This window comes from Homo sapiens, chromosome 4, assembly GCF_000001405.40.
Source record: "Homo sapiens chromosome 4, GRCh38.p14 Primary Assembly".
NCBI classification, from domain to species: domain Eukaryota; kingdom Metazoa; phylum Chordata; class Mammalia; order Primates; family Hominidae; genus Homo; species Homo sapiens.
The window spans coordinates 23321768-23338164 of NC_000004.12; the positions used below are offsets into that span (position 1 = coordinate 23321768).

Here is a 16397-nt window from a genome sequence, read left to right on the forward strand (position 1 = left end):
AATGTCTGCTTGCGCTATTTCCATTTGTTTTCTTTTTTCCCCCTCTCATTATCCTTATGAATTCCTCTGCATTGCTATAATCTTTAGCTTGCTTAGGAATTTGACTGAAGAAAATCATAGCAGAAGCTTTGGGCCTCTCCTACATTCATGAATCCACAGAAAGTGTTAGGGAGGATTAAATGGCCCTGTCGTTGCCCCTGTTCCCATGATCTTTGATATAAATTTTCCAAGTAAGAAATTCAGACTTATTTCTCTAACCACAGACTTCCATCTTGTATATACTTCAAGAATCAATTTTAGCTACTAGGGTTATTTGATTTCACCTTCCCAAAACTTTCATTTAATATACTCTCCTTATAAACCTTACATATATTCAAAAGTTCACAGGCAGTGAATCTGTAGAACATATGAATATACAGTATTTCCATGTAGCTTCCACCATATTCCTTATAAGTGGGTCTCAGAATTCTATTTCAGAATAAGGACCAAAGGGGCTTTTAGGAGAATAGTATGTCATTAACTCACCTTCTGGCATTTTAACTGTTATCAGCTGTACAGTTTAGTTTTATTACAACAGACATTATTGTGATAACTTTTCCTACTTTATCGTTGCAATTTATTGAAGCAGTTAATTTCTCAAAAAGTAAGAACATTTTTTCTCATTAGAAATTCCTTCATGGCCTCTTTAATACATGTTCCTGGCTATTTGGAAGAACTGCTGATAAGTGATTTTGACTTGTATCCTCAATAATGTGAGGTGTTTAAGGGAAACTTGGCAAACCACTTAGGGTCTGAAGCCATTTCTTAAAACCAGCCCCAACTGATTAATTTCTGTCTCATTACTACCCTCAACATTCAAAAAGTTCCCAAATTGCAATGGTCAGCCAAATCTACTTATAAACTTCCTAAAGACAAAGTTTTTACTTTGTTTAATAAATTATTTTTTCTCAGATTATTGTTTTTTTCCTTTGATTACTTAATTCCAGTATTTGACAGCATTGAGTTTGAAGGGCTGGATTTATTAGCTCAAAATAAGTGGGAGAGATTTTAATTATCCAATAAATATATACTCTTTATAACTCCAAACCATGTAAATCATCATCTTTGATCTAATCAACCAACAAAAGTCAGACTCTCTCTCTTTTTTTTCTTTTGGACTTTGATTTCTCTGTGTGTATTTGTCTAGTTGTTGTCTCCTGACAGAACTCTAGCAAGATAAATGAGGAGAATTTACATCTGAGAACATGACCCAAATGTAACAGCCTTCAGAAAGTCTAGTAAATCATAATAAGAGGAAATAGGACAGATAAGAATTCAGCAATATGAGTAGAACAGGTATTAAAGAAAGAAAAATTAAAGAAAGAAAAGATTGATACTGACTGTGATGAGGAGTTGAGGGACAAGTTTAACCAGCCTAACATGGAAAGTGTCAATGTTACTCCTCAGATTTTGGTTATTTTTCTCTTTCCATGGACATTGGTTCCTTTATAAGTCCACATAATGGTCCACATTTAGAGCCCAGAGATTCTATTCTCTAGCTCCTAGGTTTATAGCCTACCATTCGGACTGGTGAATTTTTCTAAGCACAGTAGGGTAAGTCAATGTTAATTAATGACAAAGTCTTAACAACAACCCCAACATTAATGAATGTCTACCATATGCCAACAGAGCTAAAGATATTTTACACACATGATGTTATTTATTTCCTTCTATAATTCTTTATGGTAATTATTGTTGTTATTATTATTTTCTAAAATTATTATTTTCTTATAGTTGAGAAAACTAAGCCTTAGAGAGATGAAGTGCCTCCTTCCAGGTCCCACAGGCAGTGAGTCACCAACAGGTCTTTGGATTTAGGTCTCATCCACTGTGCTCTATTTAAATGCTTGAAGACAGCTGTTCTGCCACATCTACCCTCTGACCCATTTGTCCACCACATTCGCACTCAATGCTTTCCAATTTGAACAAAAAATATAGTAAAGTTTAAGTGTACCACTAATTTTAAATTCCAATATATCTTAATTTCATTGGAAAGCCCACTTTCAGCTGTCACCATATTTATAATACAACACACATTTATTAGTAACAGTATACATTTTTTCTAAGTATCCCTAAAGGTTTGGAAAGTGGGTAATTTTTACATCTATCACAATGCTATGCTTAAGGCACTGTGTGATAATAAGGCCCACAGAGTCCTGCTTCAGCTAGCTTACATCAAGAATCCAAATGCAGGGCAACAAGAATCTTAAGTAAGTCATCATCAGCTGAGCAGTGGTGAGTTTCATGGGCTTTTCCTGAAAGAGGTGATCTTCAAACATGCTTATTGAATATTAAGTAGAAAACCAGCTCTGGCCTTTGCAGAGACATAAAACACCCAAACGGAGTTTGCATGACACAGAAAAAATTTCAGAGACGCTATGGAAAGAAAATCAGAAAGGCTGAAAAAGAGGAAATTGAGAAATCACCCAATTTATGCAAGGTAATGCAAAGGGGGTACTAGAGGTTTAGGAATGATAAATGACTGATTGCCAGAATGGAAGACAAAAGCAACCTTGATAACATTATTCTGAATTGCTGATGAAAAAGCTATTTACAGTCAGTGACATCCACTACCAGAGCATTCTTAAATGACTTCCTGTACTGATGTTGCCTGAGTATTAGGAAGAAGACTAATGCATGATTCAGCCTCTAATTCCACACCTCAAACCACAGGGCACTTGGGCATATCTTTGTGCCTTTCTGAAGATCAGAGCTGGGAGACTGTAAGTCTTTGCCAAGTCCATCTCCATCATTTAGCAGATAAGGAAACCAAGTTTTATGAGATGAAATCACTTGGCTTAAATCACAATGGGCATGAGTTGTAAAACTGAGCACTTCACTGCTCTTCAGGATGCTGGGGAAGCTACTGCAGCAAAGGATTCCGAAAACTAACTGACTTAATTAACACCTTAGGGCAGGGAGGTCACAATGCCACCCAGAGACTCCGCTACCCTCATCACATGGTTTCCGAAGACATGGTTTCTCATTTTCAGCATGTCTAGCCAGAGAGAAGTGACAATATTGACCCTTTCCTGGACCCTGTGATTCTGGAAAACAGTGAAGATTAAGAAATCCCCTCATCCTTTTGTGTCCTGGGACACAAACAATGACTCTTTTTCATATATGTTAGATAACATGCATGAATTACCCCTTGTTTACCTAGGAAAAGGTTAGACCCAAACTCGAAATTCCAATTCTATGACTCATAAAGAATTATCTTAACTGCTTATCCCTGTGATTATTTGGAACCAAATGTTTGCTAATCAAACTCTGGTGAATTTTCTCTTCTCCTCCCAGGTCCTGAATTTTTAGCAAACCTTAGCCTGAGCTGTTATAAACCCCTGCTTAAAAGCCTTTCCTGAGAAGAGGCTGGCCTCAGAGTAAAAATGTCCTGTGGTCTACTATGGGACTGCACAACCCTTACATTTCACATCAGCTCTTTGTAGCCTCTTTCCCTCCCCTTAATAAAGGAGGAACTCCTGTTTTCCTAACCTCTGAGACATTGCTGATCTTATGGTCAGAGCATGATTCTCACTGCAATAGTCCATTTTCTCTTCCACTTCTTCCCTTTTCAAATAAAGCCTCTCCTTACTAAATCCAGATTTTTTTTTTCTTAATTTGGCAGGAAAAAAAATCAAAAACAACAACAACAAAAAAATACCTAGAAGTTTCAACATTGTCTTTGAACCACACCCCATCAACCTGTGGGCTCAAATACTGGTCTTCTCTGTATTCATTCTAGGATCAGTGCCAAATTATATGTTTTACCTTTCTTGTGTGTTAGTCTCCTCATTTAAAATAATGATAAAAACAGAATCTGCCTCATAGTTTGGGGGAAATAGCAAATGAGGAAATGCAGGTAGAGTGCTTAGTACATCATCTCCACACAGTAATCAACAAATAAATGACAGCCTATCACATATGAGAGTAATGCCTGGCATTTTTAACACCTATTATCTTTTAAAATTCTCATATAACATTATAACAATATTTAAAAGTTGTACTATTGTTACCGTTTTACAGAAGAGGAATTGGAAACCCACTAAGATTAAGAAAATCGTTTTTCTGACTATAATTCCTATCTCTTTCATCTCCATGTTAAATCATGCATTTCCTTAACTTCTAGAGTATGTTAAATGATTACAATCCCCTGAGTTTAACAGAAAAACTACCTTTTGTATTACTGAATCACTTTGCTCCAATGAAATGCAAAGATATGCATCTCCAATGTATACAAAAGAAAGAAAAGTCTCACTTATTTTTCTCAAAATAAGTCATGGAGAAACAAGAGTCCATGTAGACAATGCCGTTGAAAATTTGAAATCTCTTTCATCTGGTTGGCCAGATCAAAGGTCATGGCATGCAACAGTCAATAAAGATGTGCTGAACTACTGAATGGAAAGAAGAAAACATGGTAACACTCCTGGGGAAATGTCAATCAAATGAGACTACTGAATAGAAACGTAGGAAATGATGTCAATCCCATTACATGTAAAGGCAAAGACATACTTCTGTTTTGTTGTTGGATTAATGATGACTGCAGACATTCTCTAGAATGCCTATTCTGTTCTTATCTACTTCCATTGCATCTCACCAGAAGTAAAATAACAACATATTAAAATGGTTAAATGAGGTATTCGGGGCTGCTTTTATTTTGAGTTTAAAGATAAAGCTCAGTAATTAGTATTTTCAGAAATTTAAAAGTCAAACTTCAGCTATTATAAAAAATTTTCCTATTTCAAACTCTCAATACATTCTGAGGCTCCTTCATGATATCTTTAGGATCATGATAAGATTGTGGCTCTAGAACATTAAACATAAACTGAAAAGAGAGAACATGATGGTTTTAATAGTGGAAAATATTTCTCATTAACTGCATGCTTGTCCTTGATCTGCATTATTAGACTATAAGATTCTGAAGACAGAAACAAATTCTTATTCATGTCTGTCTCCATCTGTCCATCCATCTGTTCATCCATCCATCCATCCATCCATCCACCCACCATTTATAGAACCTCTATTGTATTCTTGACATTGCTTGAATGGAACACAAGATGAGAACACATTTTTTTTCAAATGCCACAATCTACTTGAGGACACAGTTATATACAACTTACAGTGATAGACCCAAATTATGAAAAGTGTTCTAGGAAAAATGAGGTAAATGTTTAGATAAAATAATGATTAATTATGACTAAAAGATTAGATAAGGCAAGTACCTAGTATAGTGGGTTATATGGTGCTGACAAACAACAAATACTGAATAAGTGAGTGAATAAATTGGACAATAAAAGCCACACTTGATCACGGTGTTTATTTCAGGCTTGACTGAATTATTCATATTTGGCATTGAAAAGGAATCTTAAACCAGATGATTTCTAGATCTATGAAGAAAGCCAATTCAATTCAACAGAATTTGCTTTCATAAGGTCCTTGTGCATAATACTTACTTGGTTCTCCTGGCAGCTGACAGATGGTGAATCCTGCCTGTCCAGTCCAAGATGAAATGACCAGGAACCCTGTGCACATACCTGAGGTTGTTAAGGATCTATGTGGTTGGAAAGCAAATAACTCTGCATCAAGTTCCTGAAGCACACTTTCCCCTCTGAACCTTTTCATAGATTGACCCTCTTATTCAATAAGCCTACACCTGTGTATATATGTACATGCCGTACACAGAACTTGAAATCAATTTCTACAGGAAGTTTCTTTGATTATCCCAATACTAGAGAAGGCACTTCTACATGCTACCCTGTACTTTCTCTATTATGATGTTGATGACAGTGTTCTATTTTATGTTTAATTTTCTTGATTGTAATTTCCATGCAAGCAGAGAGTGAGTCATATTCACCATTATATCCCCATTGCCTAGCATAAGTCCTGCCGTACAGTCACAGGACAATAATTATTCAGTAAAAAATTAGAGAAATGAGTTTAATGCATTACTAGAATAATATTCTCAAAGTACAGCTCTGATCATATTATACTTCCAGTCCAAAACTTGCCCCTGAATGCCAAATGAAGTTTAAACTGCTTAGAGTAGTAGTGTAGGTCTTCTACAATCTAGTCCTTACCCATATTATGCTCAATCATATGTCAAAAATTTCAGCAACATTGACATTCTGAATATACCCTAGATTCAAAGGCATTGCACATCAAAAATTTCCCTGAGCCTCATAACACTGTCTGTTTCAACTCTGCCCATCTTTAGAACCCAGCTGAACTCCTCTAAGGAGATGTCCCTAATCCTTTCCTCCTCCAACTCTACCCTAGCTCTGAGAATTATTTTCTTTCTTCTGCCTACCCATAGCTTTAAATATACCTGTATTACAGAGTTTACCACAAACTACCATGAATTATATTTGGCTTTTTAATACATGCTTCATCTCCCTTTTCAGACTGTGAGTTCCTGGAGGGCGGGAGCTATATCTTATTCATCCTTATCATTATCAGAGTGAAAAATGAATACAATTTTATCACTATGCAAAGGGAGAAAGAACTTTCCAAGTAGATAGAATTTATAATATCTTTTGATTGATTGTTGAAATGGCCATACATTAGTGTATAATAAAATATTTTAACCCATCTTAAATTTATTGAATGTCTCCACACGTAGTTGTTCCTTCTTCAGACCTACTCCAGAAATGTAGGTAATAATACCAAGTTACAGGATTCTTAAGAGAATCAAATGAGATGATGCATATCATGTATTTAGTGTCTGGTCCATAGTAGACAGTAAGTATTGTTTCTACTTATTACTACTCTCATTCCTATTCCTATCACACCATTTTCATTATTTATAATTTTATGTATCAGGTTGGCATTTCAAAGAGAACTAGAGCACATTCACACTCAATTTTCAATTCTTTATTTTGCATGATTTTTCCCAAAGACTCCTGTGTTGCACTGTTGCACGAAGTTATTATCACCAAAGCCAGGGCCCCATGTCTTACTAGCAGAACTGTATGATTCTTGACTCCATAATACTTGGAAGATGCATGCTTCACTGAAGTACCATTGATTTTCAACTAGAAGTGAAATGCTTTTATTTAATGCTTTCTTAAGAGAATTACCACGAAAGTTGAAGAGGGTTTGGCTTTAGAGAAATCCATTATTGGGATTTATATATTGAAATTTAAATATAGGGGTCCCTTACATCTGCTCAATCAAAATGTTGTTCTAAAGCTATTTGTCTTTTCTATGAAATGGAAAGCCTGTTTTGTCCTAGACTTCTAAATCCCTTGTTTTGCTCAAACAAGTCTTAGTATTTGCTCTCAGGGAGTACTACCTCTTTGTTCAGCATAATGGGTGTAGCCTCAAATTTCACATCTCTGTACTGCTTTTTTTTTTTTTTTTCCTGAAGAATCTTAAAGAGATTTGGTCATCTTAAAATACCTTGACCTCTTGACCTCTTGACCTCTCTCCATGGTAAAAAATAAATAAATAAATAAATAAACCTTAGGCTATGCCAGACATACAAATACATTCACACTCCACTCTGAGTGGTGCTGTTAATTCACTTTGTCTTAAATGATGCTAACTTTAACTTTGATGGCTTTCACTGCTCACCTTGGAGGCTTCTAAAATGAATTGGTATATCCTCAGTGTTCTGAAGAGGCTTCAGTCCAATGCAACACCTTAGAAAAAAGAAGACATGACTTTAAGAGCATCCTTTTTCCTACCACTTAAACCTTCATAACTCTGAAGAAAAATTTAACCTTCATCCCATTCAGTGGCTCCTGTAAAGTCGTAAAGCTTTATTTTCCATTGATACACCCTTTCTAAGCAATAGAAGTATAAATAAAAAACAATTTCAGTAGAATGTGATATATTTTGTCCACGTTTGCATAACTTAAAGGCAGAATGAATTCAGTTTGGAGTACTCTCTCCATTCCCACAAAAATTTTTTCCTTGGGCTAAATCAAACATAGGAAATTTTTGCCTAAACACATTTCTTAAAGGAAAAGTCATAATCAATTGAAAAAAATAGCAACTGATAATGAAAATGGTTTTTTCAAGCATAGTGATAACGTTTGCTGCTGTGCATTCTATAAAAAGCTATTAGATTCCTATAACAGGACTGTGATATTGCTTTGCTTCCTGCTGCTGATTATAATTTTAAAGATGGAAAATCGAGATGCTTCTATTTTGCCCTATGAAATAAACCCTGACTTCTTGGTCATCCTGGTTTCGTATTTCTCTAGCTGAGACCAAAAATTTTCCTAGGCAGCAAAAAGAGAATTTACATTTTTAAAAATTTCTTCAAATAGAAGTACGCACTTTCTATTCTTGCTTCTGGGGTACAGTAACTTAAAAATTCTTGCTAGTTGAAAGTTGGATCTGTAAAAAAAATGGTTAACATACCATGTGATTGGAATTATAATTAATATTATACACAGGCTGTGGGGATGTAATGAAAAAAGATCCATGTCCATCTTAAAAAGAAATGTCAATCTTGTAGAACCTTCAAAAAGAGAGAACTCTTGGCTGTGGATAGTCATTGCCTTCCTACCTGGAATGCGGGATGATTAGACTTAATGACGCTTTTGGGGGCCAAAAAGAAGAGTTGTCTAAGAGTCATTAGGCTGCTTGCTCTGTGTGCCTTGATGAATCTGTATCTGAAGGCAATTTTAAATGAAAGCTCCAAAATGTTTTGCATCAAATTGGCATCACTGAACATTAGGCTCTTAAAATTAAAAGTACAGTAGCACAGTGTAGAGATTAAAAGCATGTTTTTGGAATCAGACATTCTTTTTTCAATCCTATCCAGCCCAAGCTAGCAGTTATTTAGGCCAGTTACTCAACCTCGATATAAGACTCAGTTTCCTCACCTATAAAATAGAGATAATATTACCTCCCTTCAATAGTTGTGAAGATTGTACAAGATAATATAAGTGAAGACTTACATAGTATCTGGTACAAAGTAAATACTTAATATATGGTAGTTAATATCATTATGACATCAGTATATATTTATGATACTTCATAGTTTACAAAGTACATTCAAATACTTATGTTGATTTAAGTTTCACCACAACCTATTTGTTCAGGTTTTATTATTCTCACATTATAGGAGAAGAAACTGAGGTTCAAGGACTAGTAACCAGCAGCAGATCACACAGCTGGAAGACAACTAAGAGCAAAAAAACGTTAGTCTTTTGATGGCTATATCAGGCCATGTTCTTCCCAGTACAGCAAACCTGAACCTCTGTGGATGATGATTAAAAAGAGAAATACAGTCTCATCTTAGAGATTATCCTTGTCTTTCCTAGACATTATTATTTTCACTTAAAAAAGTTGAAGCCTTACTTACATCAAAAGGTAAGGATGGGCCTCTTTAAGGTAAGGCATAAGTATTAATGCAACAGCTTTTAGTAAATTACTGTTATTTAAAATTCTTTCTGTGCTCCTCCAGCATGTGTAATAGCTTGCCTCATTTATGTTTTTTCTTATTCATTCATTCTCAATGGGCAAAATTTCTAATTCATTCAGTCTCTCCTGACACATTGTACTTGGCAGGTAATTCGTAATAAGCTTTAATTTTGAAAATGAACATTTGTCATTTGGGACCGTAACTTAGATAGTTTAAAAACACCAAACCCGCTGTGCAAACATCTGGAAAAGTTGATGATAGGGGACGGTTTGCTGCAGTCAACGTGTCTACCAAGCAAATGACAGAATCGGACTTAGAAAGGTCTGTTGTCAGAGCTCGCCAGTAATGATGATTTGTCTAGTAAGAGATATTAGAGGAAGAAGAGATGAAAAAAAAAGCATTTTCCATCCATTTGGCAAATGCATTTGCCATTATATGCGAGTTGCTAATTGATGCTTTAAATCTGTGATCATATGTGCTATTAAATATGAAACCTGTACACACAGACATACAGACTCATATTGATATGAGGATAGATGTCTGAGGTAAATTTAGAGATGAGAAAATTAATGCAAGATGCTTTACTTTGGAAGTAATTCCTTTGGGAATTGTCAGATGCCAGTCAGGTGCTTGTGTAAGTCACCTTTTTTTGTGAGGGCTGAAAGACCAGGAACAAGGTTCTAAGAATTTAGACCACTGGTTCTCTAGTAATGTATGCAGATAATCAAAGAAGTAACATGAAGAAAAATGATGATTTTAGTTTTAAAATATGATAATCTATTCTTCTTTAAAAATAATTAATATCACAAGACCTAAAGCCTTCTTGTTCACTCTCTTCTCCGGTAAGCTTCATTTTGAAAAAGGCTAAAAACTTTTAGGGAGATTCTCTAGGGAGTTCTGGACTTGACATGCGAAAGTGTCAGAGTCTAGCTTTCATAGTAATAGAGAGGTCAAGAATGCTGCTGAAAAGCATTCTGGGGCTTACCTTGAAATGGGATATTAAGTGGACTCCAGAATTTTAAAGGAGCCAGTCTAATACAGCTCCTTAAGATAAACTAGATGTACCTAAAATGTGACTGCTTTTAAGTAGTTGGGAGAAACAAACATGAACAGATATTTTTAAATTACAATATATAACTTCTTCCACAGAGGCACAATTAAAGTGCTAAGAAATCACTGCAGACAGAGAACCTGACACTGACAAGGAGAATTACATATGCATCAATGAGGAGCTGGCATTTTGGCTCAGTCTAGAAGTCATAGGAATTTTCCTGGAGAAAGTTTTTTCAAAGTGAATAGCATATGCAAAAATGGTAAGAACTATTGAGAAATAGAGAGATTTTCCTTGAATGCGAGTTCAGTGAGATTACAAGGTTTCCAATAGCTCCTTTTGGTAGTGAATAAAACTGAGTCAAATTTGCAGAAATCAGTAACTCAAGGGAATTCCTTCATTGGTCCTCTCACTAATGTGAGTGCATATGTGTGTGTTTTACGGGATGTGTGTGGGAGGGGATGTTTTTACTATTTCTCAGAGCCACACCCTACCTAAATATTGTACGCTCCAAGTAAATTGAGAAAATAAGTGTTGGAGATGGGGAGAATGGAAATGGAAAGATAAAGAAGAGTTTTATCTTTGAAAATAGATATTTATGGTACCTTATTTACTTTAAAATAAATGAGATACCTATTCATGCACATATCTCAGAATAATTACTGTATTTTCTAATGGGAGAAGCCTTAGAAAATATCCAGTTTATTGCCCTATTTTAAGAAATGAGGAAACTGAGTTTTAGAGAAGTTGAAACACGTTTTCCAACCATGGTTACTTGCAGATATAAAGAATAGAACTCAAATGTTTTCACTCTTAGTACAAAATTATTTCCTTTCTACCAATGCAGCTTTTAGACAAATCATCACATTATTAATTGATCAGTCAACAGTTTTTTATTGATTATACTACAATGGGCCTTATAACTGGGCTCTATAAGAAATGGGAAATAAAAAGAATGTATGAACTGAAGACAACCCATTAAAATATCAGAAAGACAAGGTAGCAGCAATTTTAAATGAGTCCCTGTATTAATTGCTGTTGCAGAACCTAATGTTACCAAATGTTCATTTGGATAAAGTGGATATCTGAAAATCATAACCTTGATTATTAGGTTGTCTGATATGTGCTGTGAATGAGAAGTAGGTAGACTTTATTTCACATGGTCATTCCAGTTGATTTACCGTGTTTTCTTCAGGCACTTTGCTGAGAAGAATTCTGAGGTCCTGTTTGATGTCAACAGAAAGAAATGCTATAATCAATGTGTAATGACAGCCATACTAGTGACAATAAGACCAGGTAATTATCAAATATGTAATCAGTATAATAATAAAATCTTATATTGTACCTTTCTTCGAAGAGCAAAGATTGTTTCCAAATTCGAGTCACGAAATTAAAACAGAAAGCCTTACTTCTTACTCCAGAGAATGACTGGATGCCAAAAGATTAAGTAAGCATCACTAATGTGCTTACATGAGACAATATTGTGGCCAATTATATTTCTATCCTGCCTACATTACTCAGATCTTAAGGTGATGTCACTATGCGTTTGAGTGTATGTATGTGTGTGTGTGTGTCTGTGTGTGTGTTATGACATTATACCTGGAGAGAAAAACAAATCACCAAGGCTGATTTCAGAAGAAGCTTTGGCATCCATATGCCACTCACCTTAATCATTTTTAAATCAGACTGTCCTTCAATCTTACGATTCAGTCAAGGAGCTAATTGTATCTTGTCAATGCCATAGATACCCTCAAAGTCCTATAAAAGATGTTCTGGGCTTATGTAGGCTGAATTAAAAGACATTCACTTGTGGTGGCTTTAAACCACATAGGATGACTCATCATATCAGTTATATCCACTTGTGCTGACGTTTGTCTTGCGTAACCATTGTGTTAAGTGCTTTCCATAAAAAGCCTTCATGCAAATCTTTTTTTTTTTTCCTGATCATTAAGGCACTTTAACACAAAGAGGTAGAACAGTACGTTGTAACCACATCCTGGGTTTGTTTCTCTGTAGGAAGATTGCTTTGTGCCTGAAAGCTGTACAGGATATTTAAAGACTAGAGCAAATGATTAAATTTACCCACTTTTTTTTTGTTCCTGGCAGCCTAAGCCCTAAGCTTTACCTGTCATTCAACTCATCTAAATGCCAAAGAAAAGGGCTGACACAGAGTAGAAATCTTGTCACATGACCTCACCCTCCTCCCCATCTCCTTTCTAAGGGCTCCTGCAATTGTCATTTACATTAAAGTTCCGTGCTTAGGCCTGCAGGTGGAGAATTGCTCTTTTGTTGAGAGTTAGTTTCTGTTACAGGTCAGAAAACAGAAGACTTTGTCAGAGGTTGGGCTGCTTTCTAAAGTAACTCATTGCCAGAATTTTCTAAACAAGAAAAAAAGCCAGAAAGCAAGGCAATTCTTGAAATGTTAGTACAAGATAAAGGTGTCCATTGGGAAATGAGCAACATGGCTCTGGGGTTCTCTTGAAATTCAGAGTTGAAGAATTTAGCAACACTGACACTTCTGACACGTAGAGGAAATGTGGGAGAAAATGCAGCAATTCAATAAATTCTACAAACATTTATATGCTACTGATAGGCTGGGCACTGCTCTAGGCCTCAGAGATACCAGAGACTGATTTAGACTATTTCTCCAGCTTCAAGGGGCCCAGCGTCTGTGAGAACAATTATGCATAAGCAGTTGTAGCAGAAGTACAGACTCAGTATAGTTGGAAGGGATTGAAGGGCACTGCAGAGTAAAATGAAACAGAGGGAATGGAAAGTTCTTCTCATGTCTCCCATCATCTTCGAGACTATTTTGAAGACATAAATACAGACATAGTGCAGTGTAGATAAATAGGCATGGCCTTTGGAACAAGTATGTCGTCAAATCATTTTCTGTCTAGGTGATCTTGGGTCAAGAAAGGTTAGGCAATAACCAGAGGATATTCCCTATATGTCTTCAAAATAAAGTCTATTGTTCTAAGACCATAGAAAATATGAAGATTTAACTGAAATAATGGTTCATATTTTAGCCTAAGTATATATCCTGTTATATAATCTGCTGTTACTTTCTTTTAATTATTTTTGTAGTGATTGTGAATTTCCTTTCTTCTTTAATCTTGTTTGTAATTAATTGGCTTTAGTGGATTCGGAACTAATGGATACTTTTCTTGAGATATTTAGAAAGTACAGAAAAATTCAGAAGGGAATGCTATGGTTTTAATGTTTGTCCCCTCCAAAACTCATGTGTTGAGAGCCTAATCATTAAGGCCACAATGTTGGGAGAGGGGGCTTAATGGGAGGTGTTTAGGTCTTGCGAGCTTTGCCTGCGTGAATTGATTAATGCCACAATAAAATGGTTTTTGAGAGTGGGCTCTCTCCCTTCCACTCTTCACCAATGTGAGAAGCAGCATTGCTCCACCTCTGAAGGAGACAGCATTCAAGGTGCCATCTTGGAGGCAGAGACCAGGCCCTCACCAGAAACCAAACCTGTTGGTACCTTGATCTTGGACTTTTCCACTTCCAGACCTATGAGAAATACATTTCTGTACTTTGTAAATTACCTAGTCTCAGGTATTCTGTTACAGCAGCACAAAACAAACTGAGACAAGGGAAATTAACCAATCTATAATCATCTTATCCCACCACCCAGACTTAATCACTGTTGGCATTTTCAAGCATTTTCTTCGAGAATTTTAATAACCTGTTTTATTTTCCTAAAATTTATTTTTTGGATATCTACCCCATCATGATTTATGATACAATCCAATTTTTATTGGTGGGAGTATTCATGCTTATAATTTATTTAATCAATCCCATATGATTGACTATTACTATTTATTTTTTACCAACATTATCACTTTTCAAGTGTTTCAACATTATCACCACTAGTCAAGAAAGAGGAGCCAATTAGATACATTCTATAAAAAGAACTAAAAATAAACTTTATAAAAGTCCTCTATTCATGAATTAATGACAATATATTTGAAATCAAGGTCTATGTCTTAAAATTATTTTGAATTATCTCCAGCAGAAACTGTAGACCAGGTAGCCATGTAATACATGGAGTAGCTGATCTCTAAGTATGTAGAGATAATTTGATTGACTAAACATCACTTAGAAAATTTCAGAAAGAAAATAATATGCTATAAAACTAATTACTTAGCAGGCATTATGCTAAGCATCATTAGGGATTCAAGAGCCCCCATGCTGAAAGCATGTCAATGATTTTGCTTTGGAATTAAAATAAAATTCAAGTGTCTCAATGGGGTAATAATGATATAGCAACAGTTTTGAGTGTTTTATGAGTTAGGCATTGTACTTTATAAATCTTAACTTTTTTCCTATTGAAACTTACTTAGATTCAGAGAGAATAAGTAACTTGCATAAGGTCACACAGGTAGTAAGGGCATAGAGTGGGATTTTCTCCAACCACGTTTTCCTATAGCTACCTCTCATTTGTTTTTTATGCTTCACATCAAACGTTGCTACCCTCTATTGTAGATAGTTTTTATTATAAGGCCCTGGTTTATTTTCCTCAAAGTACTTATCATTAATAATGTTATTTTTCCTCTGATTTGTATGTTTACTTTTCCTGTTTGCATTACTAAAACATAACATCCATGAAGGGCACAGACTTTATGTATATTATGCTTATTACAGTATCATCAGCACCTAGAACAATATCAAGTAACTAACTGGTAATTGATGAATATCTCATTAAAAAAAGAATGTATGGAATAAAGAACACAGTATCTGTGCTCAAAGAACTGACCATCTATAGAGTCAATTCTAAGATATGCGCAGGAATTCTAGTTAACAATCCAGCATGGAAGAAGCTTGGAAGTTGCAACTCCATTCTAACAACTTATAAAAAGCTGAAAAAACTAAAAAATTCATAACTCTTGTTAAATCCATAACAGAAATTGTCCATGCGATCCTTTGATGCATAATTTGCCCAAGGCAAACCACTGTCCCCCAAATTGCAGAAACTGAGAGGCAAAAACAGAGAATCACAACTTACTGGAGCAGAAAGCCACCAGCAACAACTTCACAGGAACCAGTGCCAGGCTAGGAAAACCTGAAGTGTAATTAATGAATTGCGAATTCATGAGCTGGAGGCTCCATGAGGACAACTCTGAGAGATAAAAACCATAGGGGACCCAGCCTTCAGGAGCCCCCATGCACTTTTGTTAGTTTTACCTTCTGATGCTCCACCAGGTTCTCAGGGTGAGTATCAGAGGAAAAATTCTCTAATGCTTCCAGCAGGGGGAGAAAAAAAATTTTAAATCAGCCCGAGCATTCTGTTCTTCCTAAGGAAGGTTGCCCTCAAGTGAAACTATTTAACCAGAGCCTAACCTGCTGAGGCTTCCTCAGAGCCTAACTGACCTGGGGAAAGGAAAATACCTAACTCTTGCCTATTCTAGCCAACACTGTTCCACCTAAGGTGGGGCTGAGAAGCACATGTGAAGATCACAGTCCAAAGGCACAGGTTCAGGGAAACACTAAGACCTAATCAATCATAGGATTACAGAATGCTTCCCTCCACCCTGCACTTTACCACCAAATTACTAAAGACTTATTTACAGCCATCCCTTTCGCACGATATGTCATGGCCCACAGTCAAAAAAATATTTCAAGATATAAAGCATTAGCACCCAGACTTATATGGCAGGGAAGTTGAAATTATCAGGATGTGAATTTAAAACAACTATAATATGCGAATGGCTCTAATAGATAACAGAAACTTCATACAAGAATAAATGGGCAATATAAGCAGAGTGATGGAAGTTCTAAGAAAGTACAAAAAGGAAATGCCAGAGATTAAAAATTAACAGAATTGAAGAATGCCATTGATGGGCTTATTAGTAGAATAGACATGACTAAGGAAGGAATTTCTGAATTTAAGAATATATCAACAAAGACCACCAAAACTGA

At 35.7% G+C, this 16397-nt stretch overlaps 2 long non-coding RNA genes across 4 annotated transcripts in view, besides 2 other annotated features; one reads left to right on the plus strand and one right to left on the minus strand.

Annotated features, from left to right (window-relative positions):
• Positions 1-16397, plus strand: part of LOC105374524 (uncharacterized) — a 507306-nt gene that overhangs the window by 324236 nt on the left and 166673 nt on the right. Inside the window, exons 14-16 of the long non-coding RNA XR_007058437.1 lie at positions 9113-9188; positions 10562-10725; positions 11659-11759. This is a non-coding gene — a long non-coding RNA (uncharacterized LOC105374524). The remainder of the gene's footprint in view (positions 1-9112; positions 9189-10561; positions 10726-11658; positions 11760-16397) is intronic.
• The window catches only part of LOC105374523 (uncharacterized), a 97876-nt gene that overhangs the window by 19235 nt on the left and 62244 nt on the right, over positions 1-16397 (minus strand). For 2 of the 3 annotated variants that reach the window (XR_925461.2, XR_925460.2), the window contains one exon: positions 7609-7676. This is a non-coding gene — a long non-coding RNA (uncharacterized LOC105374523). Of the gene's footprint in view, positions 1-5497; positions 5571-7608; positions 7677-16397 lie in introns of those variants that run through there. The other variant, XR_001741614.1, reaches the window with a different exon arrangement.
• Positions 12429-12478: an enhancer, noted in NCBI's record as "active region_21366". NCBI's record gives its function as "activates an Ori minimal core promoter by ATAC-STARR-seq in GM12878 lymphoblastoid cells {active_cell/tissue: GM12878}" and the evidence as "EXISTENCE:reporter gene assay evidence [ECO:0000049][PMID:35858748]".
• Positions 12539-12768: an enhancer, noted in NCBI's record as "active region_21367". NCBI's record gives its function as "activates an Ori minimal core promoter by ATAC-STARR-seq in GM12878 lymphoblastoid cells {active_cell/tissue: GM12878}" and the evidence as "EXISTENCE:reporter gene assay evidence [ECO:0000049][PMID:35858748]".